Source organism: Homo sapiens, chromosome 3 (assembly GCF_000001405.40).
Source record: "Homo sapiens chromosome 3, GRCh38.p14 Primary Assembly".
In the NCBI taxonomy this organism is placed as follows: domain Eukaryota; kingdom Metazoa; phylum Chordata; class Mammalia; order Primates; family Hominidae; genus Homo; species Homo sapiens.
The window spans coordinates 101,741,781-101,759,193 of NC_000003.12; the positions used below are offsets into that span (position 1 = coordinate 101,741,781).

At 41.4% G+C, this 17,413-nt stretch overlaps 1 protein-coding gene across 5 annotated transcripts in view; it reads left to right on the forward strand.

Moving 5' to 3' along the window:
* CEP97 (centrosomal protein 97) overlaps positions 1 to 17,413 on the forward strand; it is a 45,949-nt gene that overhangs the window by 17,167 nt on the left and 11,369 nt on the right. For 3 of the 5 annotated variants that reach the window (NM_024548.4, NM_001410784.1, XM_047448917.1), the window contains 3 exons: positions 13,650 to 13,814; positions 15,283 to 15,416; positions 15,854 to 16,643. In NM_024548.4, coding sequence (NP_078824.2) covers positions 13,650 to 13,814; positions 15,283 to 15,416; positions 15,854 to 16,643 — 1,089 coding nt within the window. The remainder of the gene's footprint in view (positions 1 to 13,649; positions 13,815 to 15,282; positions 15,417 to 15,853; positions 16,644 to 17,413) is intronic. The other 2 variants (NM_001303401.2, NM_001410785.1) reach the window with 1 other exon arrangement.

A 17,413-nucleotide genomic window follows, 5' to 3' on the forward strand; every position in this document is an offset into this window, starting at 1 on the left:
CCTGTAATCCCAGCACTTTGGGAGTCCGAGGCAGGTGGATCACGAGGTCAGAAGTTCGAGACCAGCCTGACCAACATGGTGAAACCCCATCTCTACTAAAAATAGAAAAAAATTAGCCAGGTGTGGTGGCGCGCACCTGTAATCCCAGCTACTCAGGGGGCTGAGGCAGGAGAGTCGCTTGAGCCCAGGAGGTGGAGGTTGCAGTGAGCTGAGATTGTGCCATTGCACTCCAGCCTGGGTGACAGAGTGAGACTCCGTCTCAAAAAAAAAAAAACAAAAAAACAAAAAAACAAAAAAAACAGGAAACAACAGATGCTGGAGAGGATGTTAAGAAATAGGAACACTTTTATACTGTTGGTGGGAGTGTAAGTTCAATTATTGTGGAAGACAGTGTGGCAATTCCTCAAGGACCTAGAACCAGAAATACCATCTGACTCAGCAATCCCATTACCGAGTATATACCCAAAGGATTATAAATCATTCTACTATAAGGACACATGCACATGTATGTTTATTGTGGCACTTTTCACAATAGCAAAGACTTGGAACCAATCCAAATGCCCATCAATGATAGACTGGATAAAGAAAATGTGGCACATATACACCATGGAATAATACTATGGAGCCATAAAAATGGATCAGTTCATGTCCTTTGCAGAGACATGGATGAAGCTGGAAACCATCATTCTTAGCAAACTAACACAGGAACAGAAAACCAAACACCTGCATGTTCTCACTCATAAGTGGGAGTTGAACAATGAGAACACATAGACACAGGGAGGGGAACATCACACACCAGGGCCTGTTGGGTGGGGGCTAGGGGAGTGATAGCATTAGGAGAAATACCTAATGTAGGTGACGAGTTGCTGGGTGCAGCAAACCACCATGGCATGCGTATACCTATGTAATAAACCTGCACATTCTGCACAAGTATCCCAGAACTTAAAGTATTTAAAAAAAAAAAAAAAGTGTGGGAAGAAGGAAGAGATGGGAGGGTAGCTCAATAGCAAATTTTTTTCCAGACACATTTTTAAGAATTGTAGAAGTACAGAGCGAGACTCCATCTCAAAAAAATAAATAAATAAATAAAGAATTGTAAAAGTATCACATAATTAAGATACAGTTTTAAAATAATATTTTAAAATATCCTTATAATCACTTCAGAGAACAGGAAGAGAGCATGGCCGCACGTGGTGGCTCACACTTGTAGTCCCATTACTTGGGAGGCCAAGGTGGGTGGATTGCTTGAGCCCAGGAGTTTGAGACCAGTCTGGGCAATATGGTGAAACCCTGTCTCTACAAAAAAATACAAAAAATTTGCTGGGTGTGGTGGTGTGTGCCTGTAGTCCCAGCTACTCAGGAGGCTGAAGTGGGAGGATTGCTTGAGCCAGGGAGGCAGATGTTGCAGTGAGATGAAATTGCACCACTGTACTCCAGCCTGGGCAACAAAGTGGGAAAAAAAAAAATACAACCAGCATCTAGAGATCCCCTTTGTTTCCCTCTGGTCGTAACTCCCCTCCTCACTAGAAGTAACTTTATGGTAACTTTTTAATAATTTAGAAATTTTTTTTTTCCTGGTTATTATGGCATCTTCAACCAGTTTCTCCTAGAAAAAATATATATATATTTTTTGAAGACAGAGTGTTGCTCTGTTTCCCAGGCTAGAGTGCAGTGGCATGATCATAGCTCATTGTAACCTCCGCCTCCTACGCTGAAGGGACCGTCCTGTCTCAGCCTTCCAAGTAGCTGGGACTATAGGCACACACCACTGTGCCCAGCTCATTTTTAAATTTTTAGTTCAGATAAGGTTTTGCTGTGTTGCCCGGGCTGGTCTTGAATTCCTGGGCTAGAGCAGTCCTCTTACCTCAGCCTCCCAAAATGCTGGGATTATACATTTGAGCCACTGCACCCAGCTAGAATAACCAGAATTAAAAGACTGATGGCCAGGTGCAGTGGCTCACGCCTGTAATCCTAGCACTTTGGGAGGCCAAGGCGGGAGGATCACTGAGGTCGGGAGTTTGAGACCAGCCTGACCAATACAGAGAAACCCCGCTCTATTAAAAATACAAAAAAATTAGCTGGGTATGGTCGCGCGTGCCTATAATCCCAGCTACTTGGGAGGCTGAGGCAGGAGAATCACTTGAATCCGAGAGGCAGAGGTTACGGTGAGCTGAGATCGTGCCATTGAACTCTAGCCTGGGCAACAAGAGTGAAACTCCGTCTCAAAAAAAAAAAAAAAAGACTGATAATACTAAGGATGTGGTGCAATTGGAATGCTCATAAACCACTCTAGGGGACGATAAATGGTACAACTACTTTGAAAAACTAGAAGTATCTACTGAAGCTAAATGTACATATATACTTTGTTACCCAGCAATTTTACTTCACATGTATACTGTATAGAAATAGCTACTTAGGTCTCCCAAAAGACATGTACATGCATTTTCACAGCAGCCCTATTCATAATAGCACATCAGCCTATACAGGAATGGATAGAGTTCTCAAAAAAAGAAAAAAAAAAGGGTCAGCACATTGGTTCATGCCTGTAATCCTAGCACTTTGGGAGGCCAAGGTGGGTGGATCACCTGAGGTCAGGAGTTCAAGACCAGCCTGACCAACTTGGTGAAACCCCGTCTCTACTAAAAATACAAAATTAGCTGGGTGTGGTAGCACATGCCTGTAATTCCAGCTACTTGGGAGGCTGAGGCAGGAAAATCACTTGAACCCAGGAGGCGGAGGTTGCAGTGAGCTGAGATTGCACCATTGCACTCCAGCCTGGGCAACAAGAGCAAAACTCTGTCTCAAAAAAAAAAAAAAAAAGGATAGAGTTACTCTCAAACTAGGAACTTAGATGGTTGGTGCCGTGCTAGAGACAAAATGATGTTGCAGTTGTAGTCTGTCAACAGTGCTCCCATGCTTTAAAACAACTCTGGAAGTATTGTGTTCAGGAAGAAGACATTATTCTAAGGGAGAGCTATTGCCTTAAAAATCGGTGTTTGGCCTGAGCAGTGCTGAAAATATTTTCCTGGTCAACATTGAGAATTGCCCTGAAGGACAGGAAGGAATTTTCAGTTTTTAAAGTCTGCCCATCCTGGTTGTTATTTGCTAAGAACACCCAGGTTAAAGTTCTCCATTATGAAATGTATCCTAGATTCTTTGATAACATCAGGTAGCTAGATCTTGATTTGAGTGTATGTATTACCCAAAAGAGTAACTTGAGCAGTAACCAAACCTTGTGGTGCTTTGGCTGAGCCATTTCTCAGAGTTAAGCGTACCTGTGGAGAGACAAGCATCTTTGTGTGGCACCTCAGTGTTTGGAGTTCTTTCTGAATGTGTTTAGATCTCTGTTTTGCTATTGACAGGAACTTGCACAAAGCTATAACTCTATTGCTTAGTTAGAGATCATATGGGAGCAGAACCTTGGAGAAAGTTAATATTCCTTTTTAAAATTATTTAAGTTGAAATTCCTAGTGCTAGATATTTTCTTTTTAATTTTCAGAGATGGGGTCTCACATTGTTGTCTAGGCTGGAATGCAGTGACAGGATCACAGCTTACTGCAGCCTCAACCTCCCGGGCTCAAACGATTCTTCTGCTTCAGCCTCCTGAGTAGCTGGGAATAGATGCATGCCACCAGAAAAAATTAGCCTCATTTTTTAAACTTTTTTGTAGAGATGGGTTATTGCTATGTTGCCCAGTCGGGTCTGGAACTTCTGGGCTCATTGGATCCTCCCGCCTCAGCCTCCCAAAGTGCTGGGATTACAGATATAAGCCACTGCACCTAGCCAATATCCTTTTTTTTTTTTAAAGGGATATTTCAAATATATACAAAGTTAGAATAACATAATGAACATCTATGTACCCACCATGCGGCTTCAACAATTGTCAATATTCTGCCAGTCTTGTTTCATTCCACATTTTTTGTTGGAATATTTTATTTTGTTTATTTTTTTGAATTTTATTTATTTATTTATTTATTTAAATTTATTATTATACTTTAAGTTTTAGGGTACATGTGCACAATGTGCAGGTTAGTTACATATGTATACATGTGCCATGCTGGTGTGCTACACCCACTAACTCATCATCTAGCATTAGGTATATCTCCCAATGCTATCCCTCCCTGCTCCCCCCACCCCACAACAGTCCCCAGAGTGTAATGTACCCCTTCCTGTGTCCATGTGTTCTCATTGTTCAATTCCCACCTATGAGTGAGAATATGCGGTGTTTGGTTTTTTGTTCTTGTGATAGTTTACTGAAAATGATGATTTCCAATTTCATCCATGTCCCTACAAAGGACATGAACTCATTATTTTTTATGGCTGCATAGTATTCCATGGTGTATATGTGCCACATTTTCTTAATCCAGTCTATCATTGTTGGACATTTGGGTTGGTTCCAAGTCTTTGCTATTGTGAATAATGCCACAATAAACATATGTGTGCATGTGTCTTTATAGCAGCATGATTTATAGCATCACACTACCTGACTTTAAACTATACTACAAGGCTACAGTAACCAAAACAGCATGGTACTGATACCAAAACAGAGATATAGATCAATGGAACAGAACAGAGCCCTCAGAAATAACGCCGCATATCTACAACTATCTGATCTTTGACAAACCTGAGAAAAACAAGCAATGGGGAAAGGATTCCCTATTTAATAAATGGTGCTGGGAAAACTGGCTAGCCATATGTAGAAAGCTGAAACTGGATCCCTTCCTTACACCTTATACAAAAATCAATTCAAGATGGATTAAAGACTTAAACGTTAGACCTAAAACCATAAAAACCCTAGAAGAAAACCTAGGCATTACCATTCAGGACATAGGCATGGGCAAGGACTTCATGTCTAAAACACCAAAAGCAATGGCAACAAAAGATAAAATTGACAAATGGGATCTCATTAAACTAAAGACCTTCTGCACAGCAAAAGAAACTACCATCAGAGTCAACAGGCAACCTACAAAATGGGAGAAAATTTTTGCAACCTACTCACCTGACAAAGGGCTAATATCCAGAATCTACAATGAACTCAAACAAATTTACAAGAAAAAAACAAACAACCCCATCAAAAAGTGGGCAAAGGACATGAACAGACACTTCTCAAAAGAAGACATTTATGCAGCCAAAAAACACATGAAAAAATGCTCACCATCACTGGCCATCAGAGAAATGCAAATCAAAACCACAATGAGATACCATCTCACACCAGTTAGAATGGCAATCATTAAAAAGTCAGGAAACAACAGGTGCTGGAGAGGATGTGGAGAAACAGGAACACTTTTACACTGTTGGTGGGACTGTAAACTAGTTCAACCATTGTGGAAGTCAGTGTGGCGATTCCTCAGGAATCTAGAACTAGAAATAACATTTGACCCAGCCATCCCATTACTGGGTATATACCCAAAGGACTATAAATCATGCTGTTGGAGCATTTTAAAAGCAAATATCAGATACCCTTTTATTCAGAACTCCTTTTTTTTTTTTTTTTTTTGAGACGGAATCTCACTCTGTCGCCCAGGTTGGAGTGCAGTGGCACGATCTCGGCTCACTGCAAGCTCTGCCTCCCGTATTCTGGCCATTCTCCTGCCTCAGCCTCCCGAGTAGCTGGGACTATAGGCGCCTGCCACCACGCCCGGCTAATTTTTTGTGTTTTTAGTAGAGATGGGGTTTCACTGTGTTAGCCAGGATGGTCTCGATCTCCTGACCTTGTGATCCGCCCACCTCAGCCTCCCAAAGTTTTGGGATTACAGGCGTGAGCCACCGCGCCTGGCCTTCCTTTTTTTTTTTTTGAGACAGTTTCGCTCTTGTTGCCCAGGCTGGAGTGCAGTGGTGCGATCTCGGCTCACTGCAACCTCTGCCTCCTTGGTTCAAGCAATTCTCCTGCCTCTGCCACCCTAGTAGCTGGTATTACATTTTTTTTTTTTTTAAAGAGACAGAGCAGGTTGTTTTAAGTTCCCTTTCTTAATAGTTGTTACTTCTCTTGTTTTAAGTAAACAGTTCCTTCACTTTCAAGAGTGGAATCATAATGCAATGACTTGAAATTAATATGTTAGAGGCCAGGCATGGTGGCTCATGCCTGTAATCTTAGTGCCTGGGAAGGTCAACACAGGAGGATCACTTGAAGTCAGCAGTTCAAGACCAGACTGGGCAGCATAGTGAGTCCCCATCTCTAAAAAAAAAATAAAAAATGAAAAAATTAGCTGGGTATGCTGGTGCATACCTGTAGTTTCAGCTACTTGGGAGGCTGAGGTGGGAGGATTGAGTGAGCCCAGCAGTTTGAGGCTGCAGTGAGCCATGATAGTGCCATTGCACTCCAGCCTGGGTGGCAGAGAGACCTTGTCTCAAAAAAAAAAAAAAAAAAAAAAAAAGATTAATATGTTAGAGCTGAATGAGTCTTAATTTTTTTTTTAATTGAAAATGGTATTTTAATTGACAGGGAGTTTTTGTTTTTGGTTTTTTTTTTACGTAGGATTTAATATAATTTGTGTAGGGATAAGTTTATTGATGAATTCATGTGAAGCAAAGTGGAAAATCAGATCTTATAGCAGTTGACGATCTACAGTTTGTGTTTTTTTTCACAAAAACTTAAACTGTGGGATATTCAAACTTGAGCCCTTTCTTCTAGCCTCTTAGTTTCAGTTTTCTGTCTTCCCAAAGTACAGATCATCTCTAACTTAGAAATATTGCTTGCTGAGAAATATTAAAGTTGGCGATTGTCTTCTACTCTGGACCTATTTTTGTACAACCTTTCAACATGCCATTTGTTTGGCAGGAGAATGTATGCAGACTTAGAGCAGATTTCATGAAGATTCTAAATGATTTTGATTTAGTCCACAGGGATGTTTCCATGGAAGAATACTTCTTTTTCTTTTGAGATGGAGTCTCACTCTGTTGCCCAGGCTGGAGTGCAGTGGCGCAATCTCGGCTTACTGCAAGCTCCGCCTCCTGGGTTCATACCATTCTCCTGCCTCAGTCTCCCGAGTAGCTGGGACTACAGGTGCATGCCACCACGCCTGGCTAATTTTTTGTATTTTTAGTAGAGACGGGGTTTCACCGTGTTAGCCAGGATGGTCTCAATCTCCTGACCTCATGATCCGCCCACCTCGGCCTCCCAAAGTGCTGGGATTACAGGTGTGAGCCACTGCGCCCGGCCCATGGAAGGAATACTTCTAATTATCTTTATTAAATAAACTAAACTTTTTTGGTTAAATTTTATTGTTATTATACTTTAAGTTTTAGGGTACATGTGCACAACGTGCAGGTTAGTTACATATGTATACGTGTGCCATGCTGGTGTGCGGCACCCATTAACTCGTCATTTAGCATTAGGTATATCTCCTAATGCTATCCCTCCCCCCTCCCCCCACCCCACAACAGTCCCCAGAGTGTGATGGTCCCCTTCCTGTGTCCATGTGTTCTCATTGTTCAATTCCCACCTATGAGTGAGAACATGCGGTGTTTGGATTTTTGTCCTTGTGATAGTTTACTGAGAATGATAATTTCCAATTTCATCCATGTCCCTACAAAGGACATGAACTCATCATTTTTTATGGCTGCATAGTATTCCATGGTGTATATGTGCCACATTTTCTTAATCCAGTCTATCATTGTTGGACATTTGGGTTGGTTCCAAGTCTTTGCTATTGTGAATAGTGCTGCAATAAACATACGTGTGCATGTGTCTTTATAGCAGCATGATTTATAGTCCTTTGGGTATATACCCAGTAATGGGTTGGCTGGGTCAAATGGTATTTCTAGTTCTAGATTCCTGAGGAATCGCCACACTGACTTCCACAATGGTTGAACTAGTTTACAGTCCCACCAACAGTGTAAAAGTGTTCCTATTTCTCCACATCCTCTCCAGCACCTGTTGTTTCCTGACTTTTTAATGATTGCCATTCTAACTGGTGTGAGGTGGTATCTCATTGTGGTTTTGATTTGCATTTCTCTGATGGCCAGTGATGGTGAGCATTTTTTCATGTGTTTTTTGGCTGCATAAATGTCTTCTTTTGAGAAGTGTCTGTTCATGTCCTTTGCCCACTTTTTGATGGGGTTGTTTGTTTTTTTCTTGTAAATTTGTTTGAGTTCATTGTAGATTCTGGATATTAGCCCTTTGTCAGATGAGTAGGTTGTGAAAATTTTCTCCCATTTTGTAGGTTGCCTGTTCACTGTGATGGTAGTTTCTTTTGCTGTGCAGAAGCTCTTTAGTTTAATGAGATCCCATTTGTCAATTTTGTCTTCTGTTGCCATTGCTTTTGGTGTTTAGACATGAAGTCCTTGCCCATGCCTATGTCCTGAATGGTAATGCCTAGGTTTTCTTCTAGGGTTTTTATGGTTTTAGGTCTAACGTTTAAGTCTTTAATCCATCTTGAATTGATTTTTGTATAAGGTGTAAGGAAGGGATCCAGTTTCAGCTTTCTACATATGGCTAGCCAGTTTTCCCAGCACCATTTATTAAATAGGGAATCCTTTCCCCATTGCTTGTTTTTCTCAGGTTTGTCAAAGATCAGATAGTTGTAGATATGCGGCGTTATTTCTGAGGGCTCTGTTCTGTTCCATTGATCTATATCTCTGTTTTGGTACCAGTACCATGCTGTTTTGGTTACTGTAGCCTTGTAGTATAGTTTGAAGTCAGGTAGTGTGATGCCTCCAGCTTTGTTCCCTCTTTTTCTATTGATTGGAATAGTTTCAGAAGGAATGGTACCAGTTCCTCCTTGTACCTCTGGTAGAATTTGGCTGTGAATCCATCTGGTCCTGGACTCTTTTTGGTTGGTAAGGTATTGATTATTGCCACAATTTCAGAGCCTGTTATTGGTCTGTTCAGAGATTCAACTTCTTCCTGGTTTAGCCTTGGGAGGGTGTATGTGTCGAGGAATTTATCCATTTCTTCTTGATTTTCTAGTTTATTTGCGTAGAGGTGTTTGTAGTATTCTCTGATGGTAGTTTGTATTTCTGTAGGATCGGTGGTGATATCCCCTTTGTCATTTTTTATTGTGTCTATTTGATTCTTCTCTCTTTTCTTCTTTATTAGTCTTGGTAGTGGTCTATCAATTTTGTTGATCCTTTCAAAAAACCAGCTCCTGGATTCATTAATTGTTTGAAGGGTTTTTTGTGTCTCTATTTCCTTCAGTTCTGCTCTGATGTTAGTTATTTCTTGCCTTCTGCTAGCTTTTGAATGTGTTTGCTCTTGCTTTTCTAGTTCTTTTAATTGTGATGTTAGGGTGTCAATTTTGGATCTTTCCTGCTTTCTCTTGTGGGCATTTAGTGCTATAAATTTCCCTCTACACACTGCTTTGAATGTGTGCCAGAGATTCTGGTATGTTGTGTCTTTGTTCTTGTTGGTTTCAAAGAACATCTTTATTTCTGCCTTCATTTCGTTATGTACCCAGTAGTCAATCTGGAGCAGGTTGTTCAGTTACCATGTAGTTGAGCGGTTTTGAGTGAGTTTCTTAATCCTGAGTTCTAGTTTGATTGCACTGTGGTCTGAGAGACAGTTTGTTATAATTTCTGTTCTTTTACATTTGCTGAGGAGAGCTTTACTTCTAACTGTGTGGTCAATTTTGGAATAGGTGTGGTGTGGTGCTGAAAAAAATGTATATTCTTTTGATTTGGGGTGGAGAGTTCTGTAGATATCTATTAGGTCCGCTTGGTGCAGAGCTGAGTTCAATTCCTGGGTATGCTTGTTAACTTTCTGTCTAGTTGATCTGTCTAATGTTGACAGTGGGGTGTTAAAGTCTCCCATTATTATTGTGTGGGAGTCTAAGTCTCTTTGTAGGTCACTAAAGACTTGCTTTATGAATCTGGGTGCTCCTGTATTTGGTGCATATATATTTAGGATAGTTAGCTCTTCTTGTTGAATTGATCCCTTTACCATTATGTAATGACCTTCTTTGTCTCTTTTGATCTTTGTTGGTTAAAGTCTGTTTTATCGGAGACTAGGATTGCAACCCCTGCCTTTTTTTGTTTTCCATTTGCTTGGTAGATCTTCCTCCATCCTTTTATTTTGAGCCTATGTGTGTCTCTGCACGTGAGATGGGTTTCCTGAATACAGCACACTGATGGGTCTTGACTTTTTATCCAATTTGCCAGTCTGTGTCTTTTAATTGGAGCATTTAGTCCATTTACATTTAAAGTTAATATTGTTATGTGTGAATTTGATCCTGTCATTATGATGTTAGCTGTTTATTTTGCTTCCTAGCCTTGATGGTCTTTACAATTTGGCATGATTTTGCAGTGGCTGGTATCGCTTGTTCCTTTCCATGTTTAGTGCTTCCTTCAGGACCTCTTTTAGGGCAGGCCTGGTGGTGACAAAATCTCTCAGCATTTGCTTGTCTGTAAAGGATTTTATTTCTCCTTCACTTATGAAGCTTAGTATGCCTGGATATGAAATTCTGGGTTGAAATTCTTTTCTTTAAGAATGTTGAATATTATTGGCCCCCACTCTCTTCTGGCTTGTAGAGTTTCTGCCGAGAGATCCGCTGTTAGTCTGATGGGCTTCCCTTTGTGGGTAACCCGACCTTTCTCTCTGGCTGCCCTTAACATTTTTTCCTTCATTTCAACTTTGGTGAATCTGACAATTATGTGTCTTGGAGTTGCTCTTCTCAAGGAGTATCTTTGTGGCGTTCTCTGTATTTCCTGAATCTGAATGTTGGCCTGCCTTGCTAGATTGGGGAAGTTCTCCTGGATAATATCTTGCAGAGTGTTTTCCAACTTGGTTCCATTCTCCCTGTCACTTTCAGGTACACTAATCAGACCTAGATTTGGTCTTTTCACATAGTCCCTATTTCTTGGAGGCTTTGTTCGTTTCTTTTTATTCTTTTTTCTGTAAACTTCCCTTCTCGCTTCATTTCATTCATTTCATCTTCCATCACTGATACCCTTTCTTCCAGTTGATCGCATCGGCTCCTGAGTCTTCTGCATTCTTCACGTAGTTCTCGAGCCTTGGCTTTCAGCTCCATCAGCTCCTTTAAGCACTTCTCTGTATTGATTATTCTAGTTATACATTCGTCTAAATTTTTTTCAAAGTTTTTAACTTCTTTGCCTTTGGTTTCAATTTCCTCCTGTAGCTCGGAGTAGTTTGATCTTCTGAAGCCTTCTTCTCTCAGCTCGTCAAAGTCATTCTCCGTCCAGCTTTGTTCCGTTGCTGGTGAGGAACTGCATTCCTTTGGAGGAGGAGAGGTGCTCTGGTTTTTAGAGTTTCCAGTTTTTCTGCTCTGTTTTTTCCCCATCTTTGTGGTTTTATCTACTTTTGGTCTTCGATGATGGTGATGTACAGATGGGTTTTTGGTGTGGATGTCCTTTGTGTTTGTTAGTTTTCCTTCTAACAGACAGGACCCTCAGCTGCAGGTCTGTTGGAGTTTGCTAGAGGTCCACTCCAGACCCTGTTTGCCTGGGTAACAGCAGTGGTGGCTGCAGAACAACAGATTTTCGTGAACTGGGAATGCTGCTGTCTGATTGTTCCTCTGGAAGTTTTGTCTCAGAGGAGTACCCGGCTGTGTGAGGTGTCAGTCTGCCCCTACTGGGGGGTGCCTCCCAGTTAGGCTGCTCAGGGGTCAGGGGTCAGGGGTCAGGGACCCACTTGAGGAGGCAGTCTGCCCGTTCTCAGATCTCCAGCTGGGTGCTGGGAGAACCACTGCTCTCTTCAAAGCTGTCAGACAGGGACAGTTAAGTCTGCAGAGGTTACTGCTGTCTTTTTGTTTGTCTGTGCCCTGCCCCCAGAGGTGGAGCCTACAGAGGCAGGCAGGCCTCCTTGAGCTGTGGTGGGCTCCACCCAGTTCGGGCTTCCGGCTGCTTTGTTTACCTAAGCGAGCCTGGGCAATGGCGGGCGCCCCTCCCCCAGCCTTGCTGCTGCCTTGCAGTTTGATCTCAGAGTGCTGTGCTAGCAATCAGTGAGACTCCGTGGGCGTAGGACCCTCCGAGCCAGGTGCGGGATATAATCTCCTGGTGCACCGTTTTTTAAGCCCGTTGGAAAAGCGCAGTATTAGGGTGGGAGTGACCCGATTTTCCAGGTGCCATCTGTCACCCCTTTCTTTGACTAGGAAAGGGAACTCCCTGACCCCTTGCGCTTCCTGAGTGAGGCAATGCCTCGCCCTGCTTCGGCTTGCGCACGGTGCGCTGCACCCACTGTCCTCTGCCCACCGTCTGGCACTCCCTAGTGGGATGAACCCGGTACCTCAGATGGAAATGCAGAAATCACCCATCTTCTGCATCGCTCATGCTGGGAGCTGTAGACCGGAGCTGTTCCTATTTGGCCATCTTTTTTTTTTTTTTTTTTTTTTTTTTAAGAAACAAGAGTCTTGCTTTGTTGTCCAGGCTGGCTTCAAACTCCTGGGCTCAAGCAATCCTCCCACCGCAGCCCCACAAAGTGCTGGGATTACAAGCATAAGCCACCATACCTGGCCCTTGCTTCATCTTATACCTTCACTCACTCTCCCTTCTTCTGTACTATTTTGAAGCGGATCTCAGATTACATATCATTTCACCTGTTAGTATTTCAGTATATGTCTCTAAAGAGAAGAACTCTTAAAGAAACAACCACAATGCTATTATCACATCTTAAAAAAAATTAACCAAGTGCCCTAATATCAGATATTCAGTCTTATATTTTCAATCCTTATAAATGAATTTTGTATCTTAGAAACAGAATTCAAATAATTACAGCCTTATGTCACATTTGGTTGATACATTTCTTAAGTTTCTTTCTTACTCTGTTTAGTGTCTTAAAGCAGCAGTATATTATTATGGCATACTCTGTAGATTTGCTGTGCTGACTGAGCAGTTCTTTCTTGGGGCCTCCTGGGCTTGCACTCAGATCACAGATGGGGCTAGAGTCATCCGAAGGCTTAACTTGGCTAGATGTCCAAGATGACTCTCTTGAATCTCTCAATCTATCTGTCTTTGTTCTATTTTCTTTGCTTTCTTTTCTCTCTCTCTCCCTTGCTTTTCTTTCTTTCTTTTGGTTGTAGTTGAAGAAGTCAGAGTATTTGTCCTATAGAGTTTCCCATTATCTGCTCATTTTACCAACTACATCCCTGTGTCCTTTGACATATTCCTCTCCCTTTTGTATTTTCTGTAAATTGGATATGGATGTTTGTTCAGATTCAGGTTTGATTTTTTTTTTTTTTTTGAGGGGTGGACTATAAGGTTGGTGGACTATAAGGTTGACAGGTATGATTATAGCGCACTATAGCCTCACACACCTGACCTCAAGTGATCCTCCCACCCCAACTCCTGAGTAGCTGAGATTACACATGCCACCATGCCCGGCTAGTTTTTTTTTTTCTTTTAACTGTCATTATGAACTAATGGATTCAAATGCAGTTCATCTATTTAGGCATTTCAGTGTGACAGAATGAATGGGGAGAATACTCATTGCTTCCTTGAAAATGATTTAAAAATATTTGGCACCATTAGTCCAAGCTCAATGGAAGTGCCCCTAAGCAAGAAAAAGGGTTTGAAACATTATTAGAATGGTGAATATGAGTCAGAATGATAGATTTTTTAAAAAAATTGAGTGAATTTTATTTATGAAAAACATACAATGGTGCTATAAAGGTAAGTTAACAAGGAAGATCATTGTTGCCTGACAATGTGTGTTGACTATTCTCATGCCATCTCCTCTTTTTTATGTTCCCCAATTCCAGTTTGAAAGCTGAATGGCTCTATAGTCAAGGCAAGGGGAGAGCATATCGGCCTGGCCAGCACATCCAGCTTGTCCAATATCTGGCTACAGTCTGCCCCCTCACTTCTACACTAGGTCTTCAAACTGCAGAGGATGCCAAACTAGAGAAGATTTTGAGCAAACAGAGGTAAGCCCATTTATTTCTAACAACTGATGAATTCACAAGTTAAAATACCTCTGAGTCTTTGCTATGGTGATAGTAAGCCTGAGGCAAGTGCTGCGGCCCACATTTCTGGACACTCAGTCCCCTTGTCACTGCAACAGTTCCTGCAGGGAAGCTGAATCGTGCACTGCAAACAGCCAAACAATATGGTATGGAGGAATAGAGGGGTTTTTTTGTTTTAAAGACAGGGTCTTGGTCTCTTGGTCTGTGAGTACAGCAGTGCAGTCATAGGTCACTGCAGTTGCAACTACAGGTGCATGCCACCATGGTTGGCTAATTTTTTGTAGAGATGAGGTCTCACTTTGTTCCTCAGTCTGATTTTAAACTCTTGGCTTCAAGCAGTTCTCCTGCTTCGGCCTCCTAAAGTGCTAGGATAATAGGTATGAGCTACTACACCAGGAAACGGGATAGGATTTTTAAAAAATATATTTGTTCTTTTTTTTTTTTTAAGACATAATATCACTCTGTTGCCCAGGCTGGAGTGCTGTGGTGTGATCTCAGCTCATTGCAACCTCCATCTCCCAGTTCAAATGATTCTCGGGTCTAAGCCTCCTGAGTAGCTGGGATTACAGGCATGCGCCACCACACCTAGCTAATATTTTATTTTTAGTAGAGATGGGTTTTTGCCATGTTAGCCAGGCTGGTCTTGAACTCCTAACCTCAGGTGATCTGCCCGCCTTGGCCTCCCAAAGTGCTGGGATTACAGTCATGAGCTACTGCGTCTGCCACCCCTCCCCCTTTTTTCTTTTTTGAGGCAGGAGCTCACTTTGTCACCCAGGTTGGAGTGCAGTGGTGTGATCTCAGCTCCTTGCATCTTCAGTCTCCTGGGCTCAAATGATCCTCCCTCTTCAGACCCCCTTCAGTCCGTGCCTGTAGCTGGGACTACAGGCACGCACCACCAAGCCTCGGCTAATTTTTTATATTTTTTGTAGAGATGGGGTTTCATCATGTTGCTCAGGCTGATCTTGAACTCCTGAGCTCCAGCGATCCACCTGCCTTGGCCTCCCAAAGTGCTGGGATTACAGGTGCGCGACACCGTGCCCGACCTATTTGTTCTTTAATGTAGGTGTTTCTTGTGGGTTTTTGAATACTTAAGAGGTATATCTGCCTTCAAAGGGTACAGTGAAAAAAAAGAGAAAAAGTATTGCCAGAAGCATTTAATATTTACTTTCTTTATCAGAGATCCTGCCTTTAAATGTTTTTGTATGTGTGTATGTGTGCATAGTAGGGTCTGTCTTTGCAATTACAAAATAAGCTTCTTAACTTTCTTTATCCAGTGCTTTCAAATGAGGATTTATAATTTGGCATTAATTAAAAGTACCTACTTTGAGAACTTGTAAACTTCTGCCTTTTTGACATTGTTACCTAGGAAGCAGAAAATCTTTCTTTTTTTGGTTTGTGTTAAATTAGACCAGGTATTATTGATTTTTAGGTTTCACCAGAGGCAGTTGATGAACCAAAGCCAAAATGAAGAGTTGTCTCCTCTTGTTCCTGTTGAAACAAGGGCATCCCTTATTCCTGAGCATTCAAGCCCTGTTCAAGATTGCCAGATATCCCAGGAAAGTGGTAAGAAATGAATTTATCTCTGATCCCTTTTCTCCAAGTTGTTTAATTTGTCGGGTATCATAAAGCAGAAAAAGGTGCATATTTTCATAATTTTTTGTTAGTTTACTAACTTCAGTAATCATTTAGATCTTATACATATCTATGTATAAACACACCTATATATGTATGTATATTATAACTGCTATATTTCTAATTTTAAGAAACATTTCAAGGACTACTACCTTTTATATAGACCTGATGCTTTGATTATTCTTATGATTATCACAAGAATTCATTTTCTTAAAAATGTTTGGTTTGATGTTTTCGGCATATTGGAAGAAGTCACTGAGGGGATTTTTTTGCATTTTACTCTATTTCAAGGAATAGATTTCATTAAAGGGACATAACTAAAATGTAAACATTTAGTGGTTTAAATGATACTCTGTTGATTCTTCTAGAACCCGTCATTCAAGTGAATTCTTGGGTTGGGATAAACAGTAATGATGATCAGTTATTTGCGGTTAAGAATAATTTTCCAGCCTCTGTACACACTACGAGATATTCTCGAAATGATCTGCACCTGGAAGACATACAGACGGATGAGGACAAGTTAAACTGTAGTCTTCTCTCTTCAGAGTCTACTTTTATGCCAGTTGCATCAGGACTGTCTCCACTATCACCTACAGTTGAGCTGAGGCTGCAGGGCATTAACTTGGGCCTAGAAGATGATGGTGTTGCAGATGAATCTGTGAAAGGGCTGGAAAGCCAGGTGTTGGATAAGGAAGAGGAACAGCCTTTATGGGCTGCAAATGAGAATTCTGTTCAAATGATGAGAAGTGAAATCAATACAGAGGTAAATGAGAAAGCTGGACTATTACCTTGTCCTGAGCCAACAATAATCAGTGCTATCTTGAAGGATGATAACCACAGTCTTACATTTTTTCCTGAGTCAACTGAGCAGAAACAATCAGACATAAAGAAACCAGAAAATACACAACCAGAAAATAAAGAAACCATATCTCAAGCAACTTCAGAGAAACTTCCCATGATTTTAACCCAGAGATCTGTTGCTTTGGGACAAGACAAAGTTGCCCTTCAGAAATTAAATGATGCAGCCACCAAGCTTCAGGCCTGTTGGCGGGGATTTTATGCCAGGAACTACAACCCTCAAGCCAAAGATGTGCGTTACGAAATCCGGCTACGCAGAATGCAAGAGCACATTGTCTGCTTAACTGATGAAATAAGGAGGTGGGTCAGAAGTCCTTTTGATGCACTGTTTTGTTGGTTTGAGGGTGTTAGATTCTTATAGTTGATTCAGAACACTGTGCTTCTGTGATTATAACACTTTTCACACAATGTAGCCACTGTTGCTTTGGTTGTCTCCTACAGTGTACCGAAAGCATCTGGAGAGCAGACACTATCTGCTCTATCTCCTCATCTCCATCCCCAGCAAAGCACTTGATACATAGATGCAGTGTAGTAATAAATGTTCAATGAACGTGAGCTTTATAGGGATCTATAATTCTAAACATAGAAAGGTACAGAAAACATTGAAAAACCAAGTATAAAAATGAGAAGATGATGAAGTCTACATGGAATTCAGTACATGACATAAGAAATAAAGAAAATAGCAGGGATTCAGAAGGGGCTAAAATTCTATATGACTACAATAGGAATTATTCCTTAATCCCATGGCTCGTATGTTTTACTGACTGCTAGCCCAGGAAAGTTAGGATTTCATTAATATTGCAACTAGTAATATTTACTGGTATTATCAGGTAGAAGAGAAAGAGGCAGCAAAGGATACTGAGAAGGGACAGCCAGAGTGGTAGGAAAACTAGGAGAGTTCCACCTTCAACAGGAGCAAGTGTTTCAGGAGAGATGAGAGGTGCCACAGAGAGGACACAGGCATTAAACTTGGCAGTTGGAGGCTATTGGTGACTGTGTTGGTGATTCTCCAGACTATCCTCAGGTTGGATGATTTGCTAAAAGGACTCACAGAACTTGGGAAAATACTA